The 25,469-nt window shown below is 54.9% G+C and overlaps 1 protein-coding gene across 5 annotated transcripts in view, besides 3 other annotated features; it reads right to left on the bottom strand.

Annotated features, from left to right (window-relative positions):
- Window positions 1-25,469, bottom strand: part of KCNQ1 (potassium voltage-gated channel subfamily Q member 1) — a 404,098-nt gene that overhangs the window by 373,929 nt on the left and 4,700 nt on the right. Inside the window, exon 1 of one of the 5 annotated variants that reach the window (NM_181798.2) lies at window positions 13,463-13,736. The exons of the other annotated variants lie outside the window; for them this stretch is intronic. Coding sequence (NP_861463.1) covers window positions 13,463-13,467 — 5 coding nt within the window. The 5' untranslated portion in view covers window positions 13,468-13,736. Of the gene's footprint in view, window positions 1-13,462; window positions 13,737-25,469 lie in introns of those variants that run through there. 5 annotated transcript variants of the gene reach the window in all.
- Window positions 7,772-7,821: an enhancer, noted in NCBI's record as "active region_4304". NCBI's record gives its function as "activates an Ori minimal core promoter by ATAC-STARR-seq in GM12878 lymphoblastoid cells {active_cell/tissue: GM12878}" and the evidence as "EXISTENCE:reporter gene assay evidence [ECO:0000049][PMID:35858748]".
- Window positions 11,744-12,038: a silencer, noted in NCBI's record as "tiled region #11059; K562 Repressive non-DNase unmatched - State 20:ReprD". NCBI's record gives its function as "represses a minimal TATA promoter and a strong SV40 promoter by Sharpr-MPRA in K562 cells {active_cell/tissue: K562}" and the evidence as "EXISTENCE:reporter gene assay evidence [ECO:0000049][PMID:27701403]".
- Window positions 13,741-14,241: an enhancer, noted in NCBI's record as "H3K4me1 hESC enhancer chr11:2482166-2482666 (GRCh37/hg19 assembly coordinates)". NCBI's record gives its function as "activates a minimal SCP1, AML or CMV promoter by ChIP-STARR-seq in primed H9 embryonic stem cells {active_cell/tissue: H9 hESC(primed)}" and the evidence as "EXISTENCE:reporter gene assay evidence [ECO:0000049][PMID:30033119]".

The following is a 25,469-nucleotide window of genomic DNA, read 5'->3' as shown; positions in this document are numbered from 1 at the left end:
CTTGTGGTTGTCAGGAGCTGGGGGCATGGGGGAAAGGGGTGACTGCTAATTTCCTCTTGCGGATGATGGAAATGTTCAGGAATTAGAAAGACGTGTCGGACGCCTAGCACTGCGAGTAAACCGAAGACCATGAAACATGGGTTAAAAAGGTCAATTTTACGTTACGTGTATTTTATCACAACACAAACAATGCACAAATGCACAAAGGTCAGCTCTGAAGTCGACGCCTGGTTCCCATCTGGCTCTGCTCCTCACTAGCTATGCACCCCATGCCTCAGTTTTCCCATCTGTAAAAGGGCCCGATGTGGGGCTGTGATGAGGTTCCCATAGGCAAGTCCCCCACCGTGAGCACCACCACACCATCACAATCTGCACTAATCCACCTGGCCATGGACACCTCCTTCTCGCCTTAACCTAGTCCCACCAGCAGCATTCCCAGCAGGTGTGGCCACCCCAGCTCTGGGCCTCTCTGGGAGCAGGGGCCCAAGCTCTCAGCCCAAGCTCCCGCCCCACATGGAACACTCTGACGCAAGGGCCTTTTGTCTGGGCGGTGAAAGAGCCTCCAGCTGACGCATGAAGTCATAAATGTTTCAGAGACCTGGGCTCCACCGCTGCCCCTCCCTAAGGGCACCAAAGCCACCTGTGCTGAGCCTGCAGCCTCAGATGGCCTCTGCATTTAATGGTGCCTGCTATCTGCAGCCACTTAGGGCCCATCATCTGGCGGCTGCTGTTTTGCTCAGCTGCAGACCCAGGAGGCTTCCCACAGGGCTCGGGTGCCCACTGCAGCCTGGACACCGGCACATCAGGCAAAGAGACCCACGTGAGCCTCACTGCCCTGGCATCTGCCCTAGGCTCACCCTCGCCCTCTTCCCTCCTAGGAGGTGAACAAAGTAGCTGTGGCCCGGGCGCCACAAGAGTCACCACTGGTCACCACCAGGAGACTCGAGGACAGCAGAGTGGTCCCTGAGACCCTGACTACCCCCAACGCTTCTTGACGGACCCTGGACACATCCAGTGTCCCCAGCACAGCCCCATGGTGAGCCCTCAGTGAGGAAAGCCTGTTTCGAAAGAAAGACAAAAAACCACTCCACACTGGGTGATGTGTGGAGAGACCACTGGGCCAGCGGTAGGAGGCTGGGGCCAGCCACAGCCCTTCCCCAAGCAGCAGGTTGGCCCGGCTGCCCGCTTACCTCCCTCCCAAGGGCCCTGCAGTGCCCCGTTCCTGGCATCAGGCCTATTTTGCGGATTTGGTGAAGGAGGATGTCCGTTCCGGGAGGCAGGGCTCTCCCAGGCTCCCATCTGTGGAGGGCGAGTGGTGAGCGCATGCGGCTGTCTGCCCAGCTGGTGCCACTGAGCAATGGCCACCCTGGCCAGCGGGCCCCATGGCCCTACCTGTGCAGAGCAATGCCTCCCCCAGCTGTCGGGGGCTTCAACCTGCAGGCTGCCATCTCCAGGACCTGCCCTGGCTCTCAATGGGATGGAGGAAGGCTCTTGGCTGGCAGCCCCGCGCCAGGCCAGGCCAACTGAGGCCCAGTCCCTCCAGAGTTCCCTGAGGATGATGCCGGCCGCACACCCTCGCTCTACAAGCCACATGACACGGCTGAGCGTCTGTGCCATGCTGAGCGCTGTCCCACGGCAGGGGACTCAACGACGGACCAGGACGGGAAACGGCCTTGCCCCTTGGATTTCCCAGCACAGACCCTTTCCTTTCCCAACCCGCTCACCTGGGAGGGCCCAGCCCCTCACATCTCCAAACACCAGCTCTCCTGCCTCCTGCTGGACGGGACTCCAGGCAGGACTCACTGCACCATGGGCCTCAGGTCGAATGGAAGCCCTGGAGGTCCCCAACCCTCCCTGAGTCCCCAGCAAGCCCCCAACCACTATTTTCTTCCATTTATTATACAAATATAGGAACAGCAATAAATGACATCAGAATTAATGGAGCCCCCTCCCTGCCAGCCCCACCCCTTCTCTTGCCTGCTCTCCTTGGCCCGTCCTGGCCTCTCCTCAGCCACAGGCAGCAGCTCCTGCAGCTTCCAGCACAGGGGAGTTAATCCCATGGACTTGAGATGGGTGGGACCCTGTGTGCCACTCTGCCCAGAAGGCGCTCCCCACTCAGGGACATGATCTGGAGGGACATGGGACAGTCTCCTCCAATGACAGAGGCCTTCATATGCAGGCTTCTCCCAGCCACGCCCACCCCATCACCATGAGCCCCTCTGCTCATGCCCATCTCGGTGCTGGGGTGATGGGGGGCCCTGGAGTATCAAGAAGGGCCCCAGAGCTGCAACTTGGCTCAGAGCCATGGAGTCACCCCCATGCCTCTGAGGACAGAATCACATCTGCCTCCACCCACAGCATGGTTGCACTTTTTCCTCAAACAAGCTGGAGTGGCAGGGCTGGGCAGCTCTACTGGGTACCCCTAGACAGGGAAGGAGCCTGACAATGGGCAGGGGCTGACTGAGGTCATAGCAGGCAGGGAGCTCAAGTCCCTGGCCAGCTCCCTATCCCACAGACCTACTCACATCTCACGCAGCCAGTGACTCAGAAAGCCCCGCATGACACCCCTCCCAGACGCTCTGCCTTGCTTTTTTCAGTGACAGAGACCAGGACTCCAGCCCACAAAGTAGCCCAGGCCACGACCCTCCTTCTCTGGGTAAAGGTGCTTCACCCTGAGATGAAGGGACCAGCCTCAGCCTCTCCAGTTCTTTCCAGCTCTGCCCTGTGAGGGACATGCACACATGCATACACACACACACCCATAGGTGCACACACACCCAGACACAAACACACACACCTATACAGACATAGGTACACACACACCCACAAACACACACAGACATGCACGTATACACACAAAGGTGCACACACACCCACACATAAAACACACACCTATACACATGTGCACATACACTTATACACATGGGTGCACACACACCCATATATACATGAACACACACACCTACACACATGTGCACACATAGACATGCACATATACACACAAAGGTGCACACACACCCATACATAAAACACACACACCTATACGCATGTGCACATACACTTATACACATAGGTGCACACACACCCATATATACATGAACACACACACCTACACACATGTGCACACATACATACCTATACACACACAACCATACATACACCTATACACATGTGCACACACACTTATACACATAGGTGCACACACACCCATATATATGAACACACACCTACACACGCGCACACATACACGCCTATACACACATAGGTGCACGCATACACACACCTATACACATGTGCACACACACCCATACATAAACACACACACCTATACACACATAGGTGCACACGCACCCATACACGTGCACACACACCTATATACACATGCACACACCCAATCACATGCACACACCCATACACAAGTACACACACGCCCATGCACACATACACACGCCCATGCACACATACACACACCTATACACACATGCACACCCATACACATGTGCACACCCATGCACACACCCATACACATGTGTACACACATCCGTGCATACGTGCACACACCCATATACACAGGTGCACACGCACCCATACACACGTGCACACACACACATACACATGTGCCTGTGAGGCTGTGATACTGCCATGCTTAGGACCCAGAGCTGGGCCATCAGCATCCTCCAAGTCCTGGGGACCTGGTGGTGTGTGGGGCGAGATGGATCTCGCAGGTCCCCTGGGTCTCTTGACACTTTAGTGCCGTGGAGTGTCAGAGGCTGTGGCGTTGCTGAGCGTGAAGGACACTTGGGTCAGGGTTGGGGGTGCAGCCAAGAGCAGATGGGGAGAGGGAGGAGGGCGGGAGAAGCAAGCAGCATTTGGGGTACAGCCCTGCTGATCCCCACTTGCAGAGCAACACAGAGGTGGGGTCTGAAAAGTTGGGGACCCTGAAGCCACACCAGTTGGAGGTTCAGAGTCCTAGGTCCCCGAGTCTGGCTGCAGGATGATTGCAGCCGAGTCAGCCCTTGTTCCCCAGCCGTTGGGAGATATCGATGAGATGAGTTGATACAGGGTGGTGAGGGCGGGTAGAACTCTGCTGTGGAGGGAGGAGGGCCATCCCAGCAAATGTGCTGGAACCCGCGGGCAGAAAGGGAGCCTCCACCGACACCTCCCAGCTGGTCAGACATTAACTCAAAAGGAATATCCACCTCAGTGTGAAACCTGACACTACAAAATTTCTGGAAGAAAACAGAAAATCTGTGCCCTTGGTTTAGGGAAAGATTTCTGAGAGCACCAAAAAACACAATCCATAAGGGAACAAGTTGATAAACTGGACTTCATCAAAGTCAAAACGTTTGCTCTCTAAAAGGGCACTATTAAGAGAATGGGAGGCTGAGGTGGGAGGATTGATCGAGACCAGGGTTTTGAGACCAGTCTGGGCAATGAGAAATAAAAATAAAATTCTAAGCACCCCCCCCCCCACCTAACTGAGTGGATCCCCACTTGGCCGAGGGAACCCCAGAGAAACCCTGGAAGCTGAGTTCAGGGCCATGATGGATGTGCGGTTGGATACGTATCATCACACCCCCTCCCTTGATAACTGTCATTGGGTTTTCTTCCCAAAGGGCTGAACAGAAACCAGCCTTTTCATAAGACGCCGGCTTGTCTTCCTTCCCAGGCACAGAACAAAGGCGAGACGAGATAACGAGATGTTCTTCCGCCTCCCTGGGATATACGCTTCCATGCTCCCTCTTTCCTCCAATATACGTCTTCTGTAAAATGTAGATTTACTGGGCTCTAACTAAAGTCTCGCAAGTATATAATCATTTGTCTCACTTGATGCCCCTCCCCTTTTCAAGAAAACATATAAATATGAATGAAACCTCCTACGCACCTCTTTGGAAAAAGCAGCCACAGATGCTTCTGTGACTGGAGTTTTTCCTGGGCGTGCCCTCACGTTGGCTCAATAAACCTCGATGATTTGAGGAGTATGCTTCAAGTCCTCATTTTGATTGTCAGCGACATAGCCAGACCCCAGCTCTACAAAAAATTTAACAATCAGCCGGGCGTGGTGACATGCGCCTGTGGTCCCAGCTACTTAGGAGGCTGAGACGGGAGGATGGCTTGAGCCCAGGAGTTGGAACTGCAGTGAGCCGTCATAGCACCAAGCACTTCAACCTGGGCGACAGAGTGAGACCGCAGCTCTAAAAACAAGTTGTTTAAAAGGGCCGGGCGTGGTGGCTCATGCCTGTAATCCCAGCACTTTGGGAGGCTGAGGCGGGCGGATCACGAGGTCAGGAGATGGAGACCACGGTGAAACCCTGTCTCTATAAAAATACAAAAAATCAGCTGGATACAGTGGCGGGCGCCTGTAGTCCCAGCTACTCGGGAGGCTGAGGCAGGAGAATGGCATGAACCCGGAAGGCGGAGCTTGCAGTGAGCCGAGATCGCGCCACTGCACTCCAGCCTGGGTGACAGAGCGAGACTCCGTCTCAAAAAAAGAAAAAAAAAATTGTTTAAAAGAACTGAAGGACTAGCAAGGGATAAGGGAAGGCTTCACAGAGCAGGTATCTGATAGAGGACTTGGTCCAGAATATAGAAACATGTAACATCTCGGCCGGGAGCCGTAGCTCATGCCTGTAATCCCAGCACTTTGGGAGGCCGAGGCAGGTGGATCACGAGGTCAGGAGTTAGAGACCAGCCTGGCCAACGTGGTGAAACCCTGTCTCTACTAAAATACAAATATTAGCCAGTCATGGTGGCGGGCATCTGTAGTCCCAACTACTTGGGAGGCTGAGGCAGGAGAATCACTTGAACCCGGGAGGCAGAGGTTGCAGTGAGCCAAGCAAGATCACGCCACCACACTACAACCTGGGAGACGGAGAGTGAGATTCTCTCTCAAAATAAAGAAAAAAAAAAAAACTCTTGAATTCAATGAAAAACCACCCACGTTTTCTTAACAGACAATTTGACAGACACTTTACCAAAGAAGATATGTGGACAACAACTAAGCAGCTGAAAAGATGACCCCACACAGTGAGTCACCAGGAATGCCAGGGAGGGCCCCGACACACCTGTTAGATTGGCTAAAATTAAAGACCGACCACACCAAGTGTTGACAAGGAGACAGAGGAACTAGAGCTGTCGCACGGAGCTGCTGGACTGCAAAAGGGGATTGCTGCTTTAGAAAACGGTTTGTCAGTGTCCTAGAAAGTGAAGCCCTCACCCACCCCATGACACAGCCGTTCCACTTCCCAGCGGGCTGCAGAGCAGTTCAACCACTTGCTTGCACAAGAGAAGCAAAAGCATTTGCTCGCACAGAGACTCCAGCTATTCCTAGCAGTATCATTTGTGAGAGCCCAAATGGGATACAGCCGCCCACATGTCCATCAACAGGTGCATGGATCGGCAAAGTAGGCTCTACCCAAACAACAGGCCGACACACACAACAGACACACAGCTCAAAATCATGACGCTGAATAAAAGAAGCCAGACGAAACCAGCGTTGGCTGCCAGAGTCCATCCAAATAAAATTCCACAAGGCACAAGCCCATCCATCGTGCCTGATGGTAGGGCAGCAGTGGCCTGGTCGTGGGGACAGGGGGACGCTGTGAGGGTGATGGGTGTGCCCACTCTGCTGATGCTGGCTTCACAGGGCCTCCAAATGTCAGGACTCATGGAACTGTCTGCTTTAAACTGGGGCAGTTTACCGTATGCCAAGCACGCCTCCGTAAAGCTACTTAGAAAAAAAAAGTGCATGCCTGTAATCCCAGCACTTTGGGAGGCTGAGGCAGGCAGATCGCTTGAGCTCAGGAGCTTGAGACTAGACTGGGCAATATAGCAAGACCCCATCTCTACAAAAAATACAAAAATTAGCCAGGCGTGGTGGTGTGCATCTGTAGTCCCAGCTACTCAGGAGGCTGAGGCGGGAGGATCTCTTGAGCCAGGGAGGTCGAGGCTGCAGTGAACCAAGATCACACCACTGCACTCTTAGCCTAAGTGACAGAGGGAGACCCTGTCTCGAAAAATAAAAAATAAACTTCTGGGAATGGGCCTGTGGCCTGTGAAAGGTTGGGAGCCCAGGAGAGACAGTGCATTTTCCGGGCACAGTCTAAGCACGTGGCTAACAGCCCTTTAAGAAGCTGCTGTTATCCCTATTTTACAGATGGGGTAAAGGAAATGCAGAGGCACATGGCCTGCACCCACAGGGCCACTGGGCAGGTCCCCACGCTGGGCCAGCCCATCAGCCTCCCTGCCCTGTCCCTAACCAGGTGGAAGGCAGTGCCTGGACTCGGAGGTCACAGCAGCCCCAGTGCGGGTGGCCCATGCCATCCAGCAGTGCCCAGCTCCTACCCTGCCCCACACCTTGAATCCACCTGGCCTGGGTCTGCAGGGAAGGGATCAGGGGAGCAAAGGGGTCCCCACAGCCCCCATTGCAAGACGCACGCCTGCTGGCTGTGTGCACTGGGCCCGTGTGCCCAGGCATTGACGTGGGGGGCAGGTGTCTCTCACCTCACCTGGGCCAGGCCCGGTGGGCAGCAGCCTGTCCAGCACAAGAGCACCCCAACGCCTTTGCCAAACCCCAGCTCCCAGCCTTCCCCAGCCTGCACCCTGACGTGATCTCAATGGTCCCATGTGACTCGGATTGTGGTTCTCAGCAGAGATACAAAACCACTTCCTGAGGCTGTATCTGTCTCCTGGTGGCTTCTCAGCTGAGCCCCCGGCCACACCATATCCTCTGCAGAAGCCTATATCAAGCCAGGGGACCAGGGCCCCACACCATCCCTGGCTGCTCCAGGGAAGAGGGAGCAGCCTCCTCCGTGAGGACCAAAAGGGTAGAGGCCGACACCGTTGAAGCCAGTCCTGCCCTCCTCCTGGGCCCCTGCCTCCCTGCCGGACACCAAGGTGCCACGAAGGGCGCTCATGGCTCAGCCCACCCCATGGAGCCCTGTGCAATGGGGAGATAAACCCAGACCCCCTCACAGCCCACTTCCACCCCTGCAGAGGCACCCTGGCCCTCACCCCAGGGAGGCCCAGGCCCTCGGACCTGCTGACCAACCCTGCCCGGCTCTCCAGCCACAGCTTGCTCCTCCGACCTCCAGGTCACCTCCTGCCCCTGCCTGGAGTGCCCCCATCTGTCGGGCTTCCCCTGGAAGGCACTCCCTCAGGCTCCCACAGCCCCCTGCAGCCCAGCTGCCCACAAACCCACCCCAAAGCCCCTAGACTGTGGCCAGGTCATGCTCACTGCTGCAACCCAGGGCTGGCCCTCAGAGCAGGAGGCCAGGTGTTCTGGGAGCGGGCAGAGGAGACCACAGAGGAAGAGCGCAGGGGCCAGGCCCTCGCTCTCTATAAACTAAAACTATTATGATCCCTGTTTCCAGATAGGATGACTGAGGCCAAGGGAGGCTAAGGAACATGGAGCTCAGCCCTGTTCTCATGAGGACAGGAAGGCCCTCTCCCTCTGCCCACCTGGCAGGAGGCCCCCTGGACAAGGCTGGCCAGCATATCTGAAGCCTGGCCCCAGGCAGCAGCCTGGCAGCAAGCTCTCCTGAGGACTTCTGGCCTGCTGATGGCTGTGCCCCCGGGCAAGGCTGGCACCACACAGAAGCCCCCGAGCCTGGGCAGATGTCAGTGATAGCATCTTGAACCCCACTCCACGACAGGCCAGCAAGGGTCAGAAGGCTGTGGCTGCCACAGCCAGCAACAGGGGCCAGCCCCTTGCCCCTCTAAGAACCACAGCCCCAGGCCCAGGAGGGGACCCCCAGCACTGTGTTCCCTCAAAACTCACTCTCTTCTGGGAGCCCCCCTCCTCCTGCAAAGTAGGGGACAAACCCCAGCCTGGGGAGGGGAAGTCCCAGCCAGGACTTCTCCCCCCAGCAAGCACCCATCAGGCGGGGCTCAGCCATGTGTCACCTCCCCTTTGGAGATCGCTTCTCCACTCTGGGCCTCAGTTTCCCCAGCTACAAAATGGGGCAGCTGGGCCACAGCCTGCCTGCATCTCCTCCCCCAACAACGAAGGTCACTGTTCCAGCTTCCTCAGCGACACTCCCTAGGCAAAGCCTCAGGAAAACTCAAAAACGTCCCTGAGCCCCCTGGGTGGATGGGCAGGTCCCGGCTAGGACAGGAAGAAGCAATGCCCCCATAGCCAGCCCGAGAACACTCATGCAGGCCCTGAAGGGCGGGCCCCTGGGAGTCGACCTGAGCCGTCACCAAGCTCCCCAAGGAAAGGACAGGGCAGGTCATGAGCCCGGCAGGTGCAGCCAGGAACCAACCACATCTAGACCCGCCTGGCAGCACACAGCTCCTGCCTGCCAGCCAGGCTCCAAATGGCCTTCCAGGAGGCATGGCTGGAGCCCACCAAGGCCCAAGGGGAGCCGTGGATCTGTACCATTCATTGTTCCCAGCCTGCCCGGAACACAGGCTCTACCCAGAGGGACACCAGACAAGGCCACTCCTCCGTAAACCTTCTCCCAGGAAGCTCTGGGAAGCATGCTGGTGGGAGGCAGAGCTCGGCGCCCACCCCTCCCCTCTCCAATTCCACCCCCAAGCAGGCACTGGTACAAGGCACCTAGCGTGAGCAAGGTGTGAGAGGGGCCAGCACGGGGCAGGGGCCGGACAGGGAGCTCTGCTACGCACAAGCTGTGTGACCCTGGGCAAGTGTCCACCCTCTCAGGCCTCTACCCAACCAAGACAAGTGACGAGCTCAGAGGAGTCTCAGCCCTGGTGGGGGCCGTGGTTCCTCCTGACTCAGATCCTGGCTGGCTGGACCTTGGAGGATCACCTAAGGCCACCTGGCTGCAGGAGGCAGTCCGCTGTGGGGACAGTGCACTGCCCAAGAGCTTCCAGCTGCAGCCAGGGCCTCAGGGCCTCACACCTGGACTGGAGGCCAGCCTGGCAGGCCTTGGAGAAGGGGTCACGGTGCCAGCTTGAGCCCAGGAGGTCGCACTGCAGTGAGTGATGACTGTGCCACTGCACTCTAACCTAGGCGACAGAGTGAGACCCTGCTTCAAAAAAAAATAAAAAATAAAAAAACTTCTGGGAAGGGGCCTGTGGCCCATGGAAGGTTAGGAGCTCTGGAGGGACTGCATTTTCTCGGTGCGGTCTAAGCATGTGGCTAACAGCCCCTGAAGGAGCGGCCGTTACCCATTTTACAGATGGGGGAAAGGAAACAAGAGCCCATGGCCTGCACCCACGGGGGCGGCCGGGGCAGCTCCCTGCACTGGACCAGCCCATCAGTGCCCAGAGTTGGTGCCCAGGACCCCAGAGATTGCTGTCTTACTTCCTCGGGCAGGAGGACTTTGAACTACCTTAACACACAGGAAAAGAGAAGAGAAGCGCCCTGTGGACTCCAGCTCCTTCCATCTCTGGGCAGCTCCCCACAGTGGGATCCGCCTCAGCCCCAGCCCACCTAGGAGGGGTCAGCAGAGCCACCCTTTCCTCCTCGCCCAGACTGTTCTTCCCACCAGCATCCCAGAGTCCAACACGGACCATGTAATCCTGGCCCCTGAGAGAAGCTGGAATCTGCCACACAGAGGCACTGCCCACCCCCCCAACTCCTGTCCCCCAGGCCTCCCCAAGGACAGGACATGGGACTCATGCCTGGTGCAGGGCCCAATGTGGGGGCAGCAGCCAGGGGCCAGGAGCCCATGGGACCCTAGCACCATGTGGACCCAGGACCACAGTGCACCTGCCCCCACCCCGGCACTCTCCTAGGTCAAATCACACTCAATTCATTCAGAGTTCTCATCCATGCGATGCCAGAAGACACTCCAGGGACTCCAGAATCCTCTTACCAGCCTCTCCTCACTTATATATTTTAATTTAAATGATCTTTTATTATTTTTAAAAAGCAATATATTTTTAATTAGAAAATTCAGATGAGCAAAAATGAAAAGATTAAAACCCACAGCCCACACCCAGGGGTGACCACGACGAAGGCTTGTTATCTGCTGTCCGGGCCATTCCACACCTGGACGTCCATGTGTTCCGGCCCAGGGAGCGCCTGCGGCCCACTGCGTACAGCTTGTATCTGCTGATGGCAAGCACCGTAGTCCACATCCCTGTGCCAGTCAGGCCCAGTCGTTCTAATTGTCCCGTGGGTCCTGCAAACATCCCGGCCCTGCCTGGATCCACCGGGCAGCATCAGTGTCCATTTTCCACAGTCCTGCTCTGCAGAGTCAGGGCCTGTCACCCCGGTCCACGGTTATCAAACCAGACCCAACTGCCGACAGTGAGCCTGCTGGGCACGGAGCCCTCGGTGCTGCCTCACACCGTGGGGAGAACCTTCCCCCTGATCCATCAGCCAAACAAGTCCCCGCACGGGGGCATCTACACAAGCACCTACAGGGAGCCTCCACGTGGTAGCGGGGGCCGGGCCATCCGGCTTCAGGGCTGACCCCCTCGCAGGGCAATGTCTTGTGAGGAGCAGAGGCCGCCACTCTGAAACTCGAGTTGCACAAACTCAGGGTTCACATCTCGGCCTGGGCACCCACAGACCTCCCCGAGCCCCTGTGTGTTGAGCTCAGCGCAGTGCCCAGCACAGGGAGTACACCCATAAACACAGCTGCCCCAGCCCCAGCCCCAGTCCCCGGAAGAGGCAGGGTGCCCAGGGCAGCGTGACTTTGAGGTGGCAGGCAGCCTGCCAAAGGGGCCACGATAAGAGGGAGGTGGAGCCTGTCCAGGGGACCGAAGCCAGGAAGGCTACAGAGCCCCCCAGCCCCGCCCGCCACCTGCACCAAGGACAACCAGAACATTCCACCACTTGTCCTGTGGGTGCTGCGCCTCCGTGCAGCTGTACCAGGCTCCTTGAGCAGCCGCCGATCTGGGGGATAGAGGGGGCAAATGTATCCTCAGCAGAAAACAGCCTCTACCTTGCAGGCCAGTGAGAACTTCTGAAAGGCCTTCTGCATTCCTGCCTTCTGTGTCACCCACTGGCAGGTAGGGATTAGGCTCTCCAGGCACACAGTAAAGTCAATGGTCCCCCAAGGTCACAGCCGGGAGAGGCTGAGCCAGGGACGGAGCGTCCAGTTCCCCACTCTGACCAAGCACAACCCGGAATCCTGGAATCCACCCCGTCCCCCACTTCCCACTCCCCACACCCTGACAGCAGGTATATCCCTGAAGGACCCCTGAGGACCCCCGACTGGCCCCACTTCCCTGGGCCCCCTGCCGCCGCTGCCCCGCTTACCAGTTCAGGGGCCTCACCCAAGACTCTTCCACCCAAGGGCCCACAGCCTTCCCCCAAGACCCTCCCTGTCTGCTCAGCTCACGGGGAAGAAACCTGAACCCCAGGCTGGGCACGGCACATGGACCCAGGTTTGGTCCCTGTCACTCTGGGCTGGGCCCCGACTCACCAGCCCAGGGAGGGTCAAGGGTCTACTTTCTGCTCCTCAAACCTCCAGGCCTTCCCTGCCCCCGGCACCCTCTTTGCCTGTGGTTCTTGCCAGCAGCGCCCACCCTCCCCTTCACTCCACCGCCCCCTCCCCTCAGTCCTGGCCCTCCAAGCTGTCTAAGTCACAGGCAGGGTCAACCCCTACCAAGAGAGCAGGCCCCAGGGCACACAGAAGTCAGCAGAAAGCACCTGCAGGATGGCGCATGGGGGTGTGGGAGCACGTCCCTGCCACTCAGTAACAGGTGGGGGCCTCACGGGGGGCACATGGTGGGATCATGACAGCTGCTGCCCAGATTACAGCGAGGTGGTGGCAATGTCACAGGTGGTTCCCGTCATGCCAGGAAGAGATGGTGCATTCTAGAAACCAGCGGCCTTCGCCGGGAGCCCCCAGGCAGGTGTCAAGCTCAGGAGCAGGCCCGTCAGAGAGAGGAGGCAAGTCAGAAGGAGGAGGAGGCAAGTCAGAGGGGGTGGCCCTAGACATCGCCTCTGATGGCGACGCTGCCCTCGTCCACAGCCACACTCAAGTCCAGAGGCCTGTCTACCTTGCAGGCCTGGCAGCCCCAAGAACAGCCATGAAGACCCACCCAGCACCCACCAATCCAGAACCCAAACCACCAGAAGGCTCCTCCCTGGCTCCTTGGGGCTCTCCATGAGATACACCCACAGCAACGCCCCCTCAGCCCAGGGAAGGATTCTTGTGAATCCCAGAAAGACACAGTGGGGCTGGGTCTCATCTCTGGACAGCTGCTGGGATGGCGGAAGGAGCAGCAATGCATCCCAGCTGTATTGGGACTAGGCTGGCTGAGTCCACACTCACCGAGAGGCCCTCTCCAGACCTTCCCCCAGGACAGCAGACAGCAGACAGCTGCACCCAGTGGGTGCTGGAAGCAGCATGCCCCATCCATTTCTCTCCCTGCCCATCCCTCCGTCCACCCACCCCTTTCTCTCTCCACCCACCCAGTACTTCATCTATCCAGCTGTCCACCCATCTACCCGCCACCCATAACTGACCACAATTCAGCCCCCCATCCACCTGCCCATCCCTTCCTCTGCCTATCTGTCCACCCCCGGGGTACCTACTCCATGCCAGGCCCCGCACTGGCTCAGGAAGCACAGGCTCTTTCCCAGGGTCCACAGCAGCCACAGGCCTCAAATTCCCGAGAGCCAGAAACCTGGAGTTGTGGGTGAGAGCAGGGGCCACGTAAACAAAAGCAGCCGTGATCTGGGCTGAGTAAATCCAGGCCCGGCACCAGTGCCATCCTACACTCCAGACACACACATGTGCAGGCGCAAAGACAGTGCCTTCCCGGGCCTCTCACAGCCCCAGGCCATGGAAGCTGCAGGGGAGGAAGGGAAGAGGGGCCACCCCCGCCCCGGCCGGCTCACCCAGTCAGCAGGCTTATCTCCTCCACACTCAAGGTTCCCTTCCCGGACAGAGCTTCAGAGGCTATTTCAGGAACGACAGCAACCAGACTACAAATCTGCTGCGAGGCGGCCTGAGAAGCCATCCTCTCCAAGGCTGAAGAAAAGGGGGGCATCAGATGGCCCCACAGGCCTTCAAACAGCCCTGCACATGCAGACCGAGCCCCACACACCTGATCACACCTGACCCATCACCAGGTCGGACACCGAGTTCCAGCCCCAGAGACACATGAGGACAAACTCAGAGAGGCAAGGTGGCTGCCCAGGGCCTCTCAACACCCCAGGCTGCCCCCAGCCACGGCCATTGGCTCACAGATCGCCACTCCTGGACCCAGTGGAGGCCAGGAGAGTGAGGCCCATCCGACTCCCGGACACCCCCGGAAACCCAGGTCCTGCAGCAGTACCACCCAGGACAGGGGCCATCCACAGGAGGCCACACCCCCATGCAGCAGACAAGACCGACAAGAGGGCCACCTGCACAGGCAGCAACCCTCAACCAGAAGCAGTCACGCCCCAGCCTGGGGCAAAGTGCTCCTCCAGAGGCTTGAAGCAGTCTTTGGGGCCAGAGAGAGATCTGGTCCCCCACTGTGGAGACACACCTACCACCCTCTCATAAGGGCCTCGGCCACAGCCACCCGGATGGGGGGTTGCTCCCACCCAGCCCCACTGCCCCACAAGAGCGGAGTCCCCAGCGTTCCCCAGCAGTGGGCACAGGGCTTTGGCAAAGGGGCCCATGCAAATTTGCGGTCCAAGGTCCACTTACAGCTGGGCTGACAGTCCCTGTACCTGAGAGGCCTCCAAAACACATGGACACAGACTGGAGCCTTTCTACTGTGGGCCTTGGAGCCACAGGAAAAAAGGGAAGGAGGGAGGGAGGGAGGGAGGGAGGAGGCCTGTGGAGGCCAGGGCCTTGAGCTGGGAAGCAGGACTGATGCCACAGAGTAAACAAGTACCTGTACCCGCAGGGCCACCTGGGGGCTTGGGCACCTGCTCCTCCCTTGGGGCATTGCTGCCCTCCACCAGCCACAGAGCCCTTTGAAAGACCAGGGATATGGGCGCAGTATCTGTCCAGCCAGAGAAATGCAGGCCAGCAGCACAGGCTCCGCCGCCCTGCAGCCACCCTGCCCGGCCTGCCCACAGAGAATCAGGTCACGCAGGGACTCACCCTGCCCCGGAGTCCTGCCCCCAGCTGGGCCACAGGCTGGTAGGGGTCTGGGCCCTGTTGCATCTCCGGACACCTCTGCTGCCCATGGGCACTGCAAGCAAGGACTCGAGTGAGGGGCCCCCTGGGGGTGGCAGTCAGGACACCAAGGCCTGTCTGGGTTTTGGAGGAACTGAGCTTCCACACCTGCACTGGGGTGCGGCTCTGGAGCCTAGAGGAGAAACAGGGGTTCACGTCAGCTACTATTAAATTCAGTTTGTCTGAAAGACTGCGAAACCACACACCTTTTCTGGCTAGCAGATAACCACATTTAAAAAAAAAAAAATTCTTACTAAACCAGTCCTCTGACCCAGCCGCAGGTTTTGGCCACCTGTGCTGCATGGGAAGGAGAGTGGGTTTTAAGCAGAAGGGAATCCCTGCCTGATTTCACGACTCCATTCATCTACCTCTGAGACCCAGGCCTCTCAACACAAAGGGGGAACTCTTTGTAGGCAGGAGGGCGGAGGGGGCCTCCGGGGTGGTCTGGGGGGAGGGACCACGCCCTCACGGTCAGCCGTTCACCCCCAGGGCCGCCCTCTACTGTGGACGGAACAACAAGCTGACTTGTCCCTGCCCGGTTGGCTTAGAGGAAGTCAGTACTGCCAGTCGCCACAGTGCCACAGCCTGCCCCCACAGAGGGAGCTACAGACTGGCAGTGACCCCTACATACCCTTAAAGGAACCAGAGCTGTCTCAGACCCGCACAGCTCCTCATTACCTAAGACAGGTAAGCCTTCACCTGCTCCCTCCAAGCCCTGCAGTGAGGAACTACATGGGGTTGTCCTCTAGGAACCCTGATTGCCCCCCACCCCTGCCCCTGTTATGGCCTGAAGTCAGGGAGTGTCACATGCATGCTTTGTCTCTGCCCAGCTCCAGGCAGGCCACACAGTCCCTGGACACCACGCCCCACATCCTAACCTCACACCACCGGGCGCCACGGGGCGCCCAGAGGAGACAGACCACAGTGTCCCCACCACCGCGTCCCAAGGAAGTCCGTCTCTCGTTTTGCAGTTGAGGTAACATGGCCAGCTGGGAGCTGGGTGCAAACTCTGGTCTGTCTGCTCCAGAGCCCCATAAAGCCCCTGTGCCTGGGAAGGAAGGAAGCCATTCACAAAAGCATCCCAACAACCCCAAAGCCTCCCAACTGGGCACGGGAATCAGAAATGCACCATGGCAGGTGCGGCATGGGCAAAAATGGAACATGCAGCAAACCAGAAGTAATTTAATCCAATATTTGTCATCATTTATTGAGGACCTAACTAAGGCCATATGTCACAATTGGTGGATAGGTGATTCTTTCCTCCTTCTCTCCGTTATTTCTTGGTCATTGACTTACTGAGGAAATCAGGTCATGTGTCCTACAGAGCCATCCCCCACCACTGGGATTCTGCAAGTGGCCTCCTGTAGTATCATTTAGCGCGTTCCTCTGGCCCGAGTATTTCCAGTAAACTTGTACTTAGAGCACGAGGCTTGGTGAGATCGATCGATCCATCCATCCATCCATCCATCCATCCATCCATCCATCCATCCATCCATCCAGGCAAGGAAGCATTGTGGATGGGAGCACTTTCTGTGCACTGTCCGAAGGCCTTTACTGCTTTGGAGAGGTTGGCAGCTGTGACGCTGCATGCGGAATCCCTGACCTCACCAGGAGCTGGAGCCTGGCAGGACTTCAGCAGCACTGCCGCCTCAGGCATCTGCGGGAGTCCCAAAGAAGGACGCAACCCCATCAGCTACTGGGTTTCCCCGAGTTACAGTTCACAGGTTAATCACGACTGGGACACATGTCAGATTCTCTCCGTTTGCTTGCCAGGATTCAACATCATGAGCGGTCTCCCTATTGACCTCCACAGATCTTTAGAGAAATGCAAATCAAAGTCCACTGGTTTTGCCCCTCAGTATCAGGATGAACTTGGGATCTGAACCCCATCAATGCAGCTCATCCACTTCCTCTGTTATTTTCAGTGAGGCTTACCCACTGCATCTTCAGCTTGGGGAGAAGGGGGAAGACAAGGACCCCTTCAAGTTCCAGTGACATGGCCCTAGGGGGCCTCTGATAACTTCCCTGCCTTCTGCTGTGATGAATACTCCAGGCTTAGCTTGCACATCTTCTGCCACAGACCTGGAATCCGCCAGGGGCCCTGGTTTCTTTCAGGGGGAAATGGTACCTAGAGGCCACAGTCTGGGGTCTAGAGATGCTCTTAGCTGCTGAGTGGTCCTTGGTCCTGGGCCTTTCCAGGAAACAGAGATATTTAAGTAAACGTCATCCTGGATGCATACTGATAGTCCTCATTCAAATGCAGGGATGGAGGATTTTTGCGTAACCTCTTCTAACTTACATCTGTTTTTTTTTTTTTTCTCCCATGCCAAAAGTTTCCATTTTATTCAACTTTTTTAATAGGTTCAGGAGGTACAAGTGCAGGTTTGTCACAAAGGTATATTGCATGATGCTGAGGTTTGGAGTACAAACGATCCGGTCTCCCACGTAGTGCGCACAGCACCCACAGGTAACTTTTCAAACCTTGCTCCCCTTCCCCCCTCCCCACTCTTGTATTCCCCAGTGTCTCTTGTTCTCATCATTATGTCCACATGGATTTGATGTTTAGCCCTCACTTATAATCCATGAGACCACGCAGTATTTGGTTTTCAGTTTCTGCATTAATTCACTTAGGATAACGACCTCCAGCTGCATCCATGTTGCTGCAAAGGACATGATTTTCACGTCTGCATAGTATTCCATGGTGTATATATATCACATTTGCTTTATTCGATCTACCATTGACAGGCACCTGAGTTGACTCATGTCTTTCTGCCATGAATGTTTAGGTGCATATGTCTTTTTGGTAGAACGACTAATTTTTCTTTGGGTATAAACTCAGCACACGGGACTGCTGGATCGAATGGTAGTTCAACTCTTGGTTCTTTGGGAAATCTCCAAACTGCCTTCCATGGTGGCTGGACTCATTTACACTCCCGTCAACAGGGTGTAAGTGTTCCCCTTTCTCTACTGCCTCTCCAGCATCTGTTGTTTTGAGACTTTTTAAACAAAGGCCATTCTGACTGGCGTGAGATGGTATCTCATTGTGACTTTGATTTGCATTTCTCTGATGATCAGTGATGAGCATTTTTTCATGTGTTTGACTGTTTGTATGTCTTCTTTTTAAGAACTGTCTACCATATCTTTTGCCCACTTTTTGTTTTTTTGGGTTTTTTTTTTTTTTTTTTTTTTTTTTTGAGACCGAGTCTTGCTCTGTCACCCAGGCTGGAGTGCAGTGGCGTGATCTCGGCTTACTGCAAGCTCCGTCTCCTGGGTTCACGCCATTCTCCTGCCTCAGCCTCCCGAGTAGCTGGGACTACAGGCGCCCACCCCCACGCCCGGCTAATTTTTTTTTTTTTTTTTTTTTTTTGGATTTTTAGTAGAGACAGGGTTTCACCATGTTAGCCAGGATGGTCTCGATCTCCTGACCTGGTGATCTGCCCACCTTGGCCTCCCAACGTGCTGGGATTACAGGCGTGAGCCACCGCGCCCGGCCCTTTTGCCCACTTTTTAATGGGGTTGTTTTTTTGCTTGTTGATTTGTTAATTCTTTGTAGACTTTGAATATTAGGCCTTTGTCAGTTCAAAGTTTGCTAATATTTTCTCCCATTCTGTAGGTTATCTGTTTATTCCCTTGGCAGTCTCTCTTGCTGTGCAGCAGCTCTTTAATTAGGTCCCACTTGTGAATTTTTAGTTTTGTTGCAATTGCTTTTGAGGACTTATTAGCTATATATTATTTGCCAAGGCCAATATTGAGAAGACTATTTTCTTCCAGGATTTTTTCAGTTTGTAATCTAATGTTTACATCTAATCTTTTTTAATTTTTTTTTTTTTGTTTTGAGATAGAGTTTTGCTCTTGTCACCCAGGCTGGAGCGCAGTGGTGCAATCTCCTGCCTCAGCTTCCCGGGTAGCTGGGACCACAGGTGCGTACCACCACACCCAGCTAATTTTTGTATTTTTAGTAGAGATGGGGTTTCACCACCTTGGCCAAGCTGGTCTCAAACTCCTGACCCCATGATCCACCCACCTTGGCCTCCCAAAGTGCTAGGATTACAGGCATGAGCCACTGTGCCTGGCCACGTCTAATCTGTCTTTAATTTTTGTATATGGTGATAGATAGGAGTCTGACTTCATTCCTCTGCATATGGGGAGCCAGTTATCCCTGTGCCATTATTGAATATGAAGTCTTTTCCCCATGGCATATTTTTGTTGATTTTATTGATGATCAGATGGCTGTAGGTGTGTGGCTTTATTTCTGAGTTCTCTATTCTGTTCCATTGGTCTATATGTCTATGTACCAATACCATGCTGTTTTGGCTACTGTAGCCTTGAAGTATAGTTTGAAGTCAGGTAATGTGATGCCTCTGGCTTAGTTCCTTTTTTGCTATTTCGGCTCTTTTTTGGTTCTACATGAATGTTAGAATAGTTTTTTCTAATTCTATGAAAAGTGGCATTGGTAGTTTGATAGGAATAGCATTGAATCTGTAGATTGCTTTGGGCCGTATGGCCATTTTAACAATATTGATTCTTCCAACCCATCAGCATGGAATGTTTTTCCATTTCTGTCATCTATGATTTCTTTCAGCAGTGTTTTGTAACTCTTGTGTAGAGATCTTTCACCTCCTTGGTTAGATGTATTCCTGGGTATTTTATTCTTTTTGTGTCTATTATAAATGGAATTGCATTCTTGATTTGGCTCTGAGTTTGAACATCATTGGTGTATAAGAATGCTGCTGATTGGCCAGGCACGGTGGCTCAAGCCTGAATCCCAGCACTTTGGGAGGCCAAGGCGGGTGGATCACAAGGTCAGGAGATCAAGACCATCCTGGCTAACACGGTGAAACCCCGTCTCTACTAAAAAATACAAAAAATTAGCCGGGCGTGGTGGCAGACGCCTGTTGTCCCAGCTACTTGGGAGGCTGAGGCAGGAGAATGGTGTGAACCTGGGAGGCAGAGCTTGCAGTGAGCCAAGATCTCATCACTGCACTCCAGCCTGGGTGACAGAGTGAGACTCCATCTCAAAAAAAAAAAAAAAGCTGCTGATTTTTGTACATGGATTTTGTATCCTGAGACTTCACTTACAGTTCCAGAAGGCTTTTGGCAGACTCTTTAGGGTTTTCTAGGTATAGAATCTTATCATCATCGGTGAAGGGAGATGATTTGAGTTCCTCTTTTCCTATTTGGATCCCCTTTTATTTCTTTCTCTTGCCTGATTTTTCTGACTAGGACCTCCAGTATTATTTTGAATAGGAGTGGTGAAAGTGGGCATCCTTGTCTTGTTCCTATTCTTAAGGGGAATGTGTCTCGCTTTTACCCATTCAGTACCACATTTACCATGGGTTTGTCATAGATGGCTCTTATTGAGATATGTTCCTTTGATGCCTATTTTTGTTGAGGGTTTTTTAATGAAGGGATGATGAATTTTATCAAAAGTTTTTTTCTACATCTATTGAGATGATCATACGGTTTTTGTTTTTAATTCTGTTTACATGTGAATCATATTTTGTAAAACCTCCATTCTTGGTGATACCAACACAATTACTTACCTTAACCTGCAATTCCCATGCAGCACTCTTAGAATAATATAACAAATAGTATCACAACAATTATGTGGCCACTGCATGCAGCTCTATTTGTCTTCAGCAGTAACCCGCTAGAAATATGTCACCTGAAATCAGTCCTTCTGGGTGGTTAAGCCACTAATTCAGCACACATTTTTAGGCTCATTTGTTTCATTTCAATTTTGAGGGACTACTTTTTCTGGTTAAGATTTATTTAGGGATTTTTCACCAAGCGATTACGAACAGCTTTTTAAAAATTACGCAAGCTATTGATTTACATGGCTTCAAAGTGAAATCTATAAAACCAGGTACATTCAGAGGCATCTTGATTCCATATGCCACCTCCCCCCCCGCCACCCTTTTGAGGTAAACTTTTAAGATTTGGAGGCTTCCATTGCTTTCGTTTTTAATATACATCCAGACTTGCATCCTCCCCTTTATCAGATGAAGAATAGCTGCTATATTTTTATTCACTGTGCTTTTTCACTTAAAAAGCATCCTGATACGCCAGGTGTGGTGGCTCATACCTGTAATCTAAGCACTTTGGGAGGCTGAGGTGGGAGGACTGCTTGAGGCCAAGATTTCAAGACCACCCTTGCCAACACAGCAAGACCCTGCCTGAAAAAAATAATTAAATAAATCCTGATAATCACTTCATAATAAGAGAGATCTATGCATTCCTTTTTTACAGCTGCATAATATTCCACAAATCTCTGATTCAACCAGTCTCCTACAATGGGCATTTGCAGTTTTCCAAACAGTACTTTCACAAGCAGCCCTGCACACGCAGCTTCTCCTGCCTTTGCCAGTGCCTTCAGGTAGGTTCTGGGGAGGGGGTTGCTGGGTCACAGGTCAGTGAAGACAGTTTTGCTAGATGTTGCCAAATCCCTTCCTCACAGAGTCTACCCTCTTGCATGCCTACCAGCAAATGCCAAAGGATTTCTGCCAGCCAGAAGGGACCTCAGTGACATTTTCCTCGACACCCCTCTCGCCAGGAGTGAAGGCGGCACCTTCTCACATGTTCAAGGTCCCCCTGTGGGTCACTGTCCTGTGAGTGGTATTCACATCTCCTGCTGGCTGTGGGTTTTCTTCTGTTTTCAGAAACTCTTTCTGTAGTAAACAGATTAACCCTTCGTGAAACATCACATCTTCCCCCAGCCTGGCAATTGGCTGTTTCCCATTAAGATTTTTTTTTTTCCCTGAGATGGAATTTCACTCTTATTGCCCAGGCTGGAGTGCAACGGCGTGATCTCGGCTCACTGCAACCTCCACCTCCCGGGTTCAAGTGATTCTCCTGCCTCAGCCTCCCAAGTAGCTGGGATTACAGGCATGCACCACCACGCCCGGCTAATTCTGTATTTTTAGTAGAGACAGGGTTTCACCACGTTGGTCAGGCTGGTCTCGAACTCCCGACCTAAGGTGATCCGCCCGCCTTGGCCTCCCAAAGTGCTGGGATTACAGGCGTGAGCCACCGCACCCAGCCAAGGTTGCTTCTTTCTTATGTGGTCAAACACATAAATCTCCTCCACGCATCTAGCATTCAAGTCATAGAAAAGTTTCTTCGCTCTCAGGGTAAAGAATTCCAGGCGCTTTCTTTAGGTACCCAAGTGGTTTTCTGACCCACTGGGAGTCTATCCTGGTGTGTGATGTGACAAGTGGGTGCAGTCTGGTCACTTTCCACATGGCCACCCACCCACCCCGCAGCACGCATGAAGCCGCCCATCTGTTCCCCACTGGTTGGAGATGCTGCCTCTTTTACGAAACTTCATATACAATGGAGTTACATGCGGTTTTTAAAAAGCTGTTCCATTGGTGATCTGCCTGCCTATAAGGCAATGTCATGCTGTTTTAATTAGCAAAGCTGTATGTTTTATAATATTTGAGCCATCCTAGCCAAGAGCACAGACGTGACTCTTCACAAGAGAACAGCTGGAGACGTCACGGAATAGAATGCCAAGCCCAGGGCCCGTCAAGATCAAACGCTTGAAGCGCATGGTTCCCGGGGCTGCTTAGATATAGCCAGAGGAGGTTCCCGCCCCGTCTCCAGCTGCTCCCCTCTTTGGGGCAGGGTGGGGATGCCTCTGGGAGGGGTCTACCCCTCTCAGTCAGAGCTCCTTCTGCTCCCTCCTCTAAGCTGCCCGGGCTGCTCTGCGTGGAAGTCGAGGACACAGCCCCTGGCCCCAGGGTGGGGTGAGGGGTCCCAGTGCAGCTGGGCTGTCTCCATGCAGAGGAGCATTCCAGGGCCGAAGGGAGTACAGGGGTGGGGGTCCCTGTCCAGCTGCTCTGCCTGTGGTTCCTGCTTTCTGAATCTCTTCAAATCTCTGCCTGGAGCAAGTTCAGCCAGGAGCCGGGGAGAGCTACTCAGAGCACCCTTTCAGTGCGCCCCAGAGTATGATTTTGGAAGGCAGCAGAGAAAGGTGTGCACCTTAGCAGATATGGAGGGAAAGCTAAGAGCCCCCGCCCCCAGGGAACCTGCACTCTCTGGGTGAGGGCAGCCGTAGCTCACCCGCTGCCAGGACGCAGGCACAGACCAAGGCTTTGAGAGCCAACTCTCAAAGGGGACAGTCCTCAGGGTGCTTCCTGGTGGCAAGTGCTAGGTGGGAGTGGGGGTGCCCATGGATACAAACTGGGCCTGAGGCCAGGAATAGTGCACCACCTCACTTGAGACCACAGCATCCTAAGGGCTTCTGGGCATCCTAAGGGCTTCTGGGTGTCCTGAGGGCTTTCTGGGTGTGGCATGAGCAAAGTGGCCAGGCCTAGTTGTCTCATCTGTAAGGCGACCCAAATGTCCTCATCTGTGAGTGGAGGAGCGAAATGGGGAGCAGAGCCCAGGCCCCAGGTCCCAGAGCGGGCAGGGGCCTGTCCTGGAGTCAGCTCCCCAGCCCGGCTCTTCCATCAGGAGAAGTTCCTGCCAGAGGCGGCCAGGCAGATGCCAACAGACTCCAGGCGGCTCATCCTGAGAGTCCGGTGCCGATGAGGGAGCCACGACCCTCCTGGGAGCCTTTCTGCTGGTCCATCCACCCAGTGCCTGGGACCACAGCCAGGTCCTTCCAGTGCTCAGAACCCTCCAAGGGCAATGACAGTGCCGATCCCATGGCCCCGAGCCTCAATCCTCTAAGACAGGGTTCTCCAACCCCGGGTCCGTGGCCTGTTAGGGAGCAGGCCGCACAGCAGTGAGTGAGCGTCAGGTGAATGTGCACGGCCACCTGAGCTCTACCTCCTGTTGGATCAGCGGTGGCATTAGATTCTCACAGGAGCACAAATCCTATTGTGAACTGCGCACACAAGGGATCTAGGTTGCACGCTTCTTATGAGAATCTAATACCTGATGATCTGAGATGGAACAGTTTCATCCCAAGATCACCACTGCCCGGGTGGAAAAATCTTTCTTCCATAAAACAGGTCTCTGGTACTAAAAAGGTTGGGGACTGCTGCTCTACGGGGAACGGTGTTTCTGCAGAAGGGCTCAGGCACCCCCTTGGACCCACCACCCTTAACCTGGATCCTTCTGGAAGCACCATGCCTGCTCAGATGGACCCCACACCCTGAACCAAACATTAGAACTTCCCAGGAGATGGTCGAGAAGTGGGAAGACACCTGGGTCCCATCATGGATCTTCCCCACCTCCAGCCAGGGCCTGCTCCCCAGAGAGAAGCCCCTCCCCAGCCAGCACCCACCCACGTGGGGCTCCCAGAAGAGGGCTGGGCCAGGCAGCAGAAGCCACACCCTATCACATGGTCAGATGCCTCGTGTAAAAGCGGCCCCCTGGACTAGGGTCACGCGGCATCCCTGTGGTCACCCAGCCAGTACCAGAGACACCAGCCGCCTCCCTTTGTCAACCACGATAATTTTGCATCTGTGAGGTCTGGGGTTTCTCATGGTGGTTGGAGGAGCTGCTGGAGAGAGACAGCTACCCACCAGGAAGGGGTGTGGAGGCCAGGACGGTCTCACCGACGTGCCCGCAGGGACCCCAGATGCAAGCAGAGCATGGTGTAGGAGCATCCGGGGCTGGAGTGACCCACAGTGACAGCAATCCCATACTGGCCAGCCCCAAGGCACCTCCCGAGAGTGAAGCCAGACGCTGCCGCCCTCCCCTCTGTAACCAAATCCTTGGGGTCTGGGTCAAAGTGGCCCAGGATGGTGATATTCATTGCCTCATTCTCCCCTCCAGCAGCAGATGTTGGGCTTCTGGAAGCTTCTCTGCGGCATCTCCCCGGGCCGACACCATGCTCTCCCAGCACTGGCCACACACCAGCAACTCGTCTTGGGCATCTGCTGTCTCTCAGCTCTTCCTGGGCCTGGAATGTTCTCCTGGCATCACCGCCCTTGGGAGCTGTCTCCTCCCACAGATGCCTGAGATGAGATTGTCCCAGCCTTGTTGTTCTTGCCCGTGGACAGAGTCTTGAATCACAGCAAGATATCGCAGGGGCCAAAAGCCAGTTTGGAATGTCAGGGCTACGGAGGGCTCGTCCACCTCCCAGACAAGGCGGGTGGAATGCAGGGAACTGGGGGCCCTGCCTAGGGCCGAGCAGGGGCTCAGGACCAGGACGTGTGCATCTGCACCTTGGCTACAGGGACCGGTGGCATTCCCATCGCTGGAAGGCATGAGCTCCCTGGACCCGCTGCATCAGGACCCCTGCGTCAGGACCAGCTCCCTGGACCCGCTGCCCTGTTAACAGCATCCCTAGGACTCGAGGACGCTTGCTCGTGTGAGCAGCTCTGGATCACACTGGCAAGGACGTCAAGTGCAGAAGGAGCAGACTTGAAACCAGCCTAGCAGCAGGAGGGGAATTCTCGGCACCCAACGCCTTTAAAAACGGGGGCATCAGCCACCCGGGTGGAGTTGCCTGGCAACCCCTGTCACTCT

The sequence above is a fragment of the Homo sapiens genome, chromosome 11 (assembly GCF_000001405.40).
Source record: "Homo sapiens chromosome 11, GRCh38.p14 Primary Assembly".
NCBI classification, from domain to species: Eukaryota; Metazoa; Chordata; class Mammalia; order Primates; family Hominidae; genus Homo; species Homo sapiens.
The sequence above is the reverse complement of the archived record's forward strand: the minus strand, read 5'-3'. Positions and strand labels throughout refer to the sequence as shown.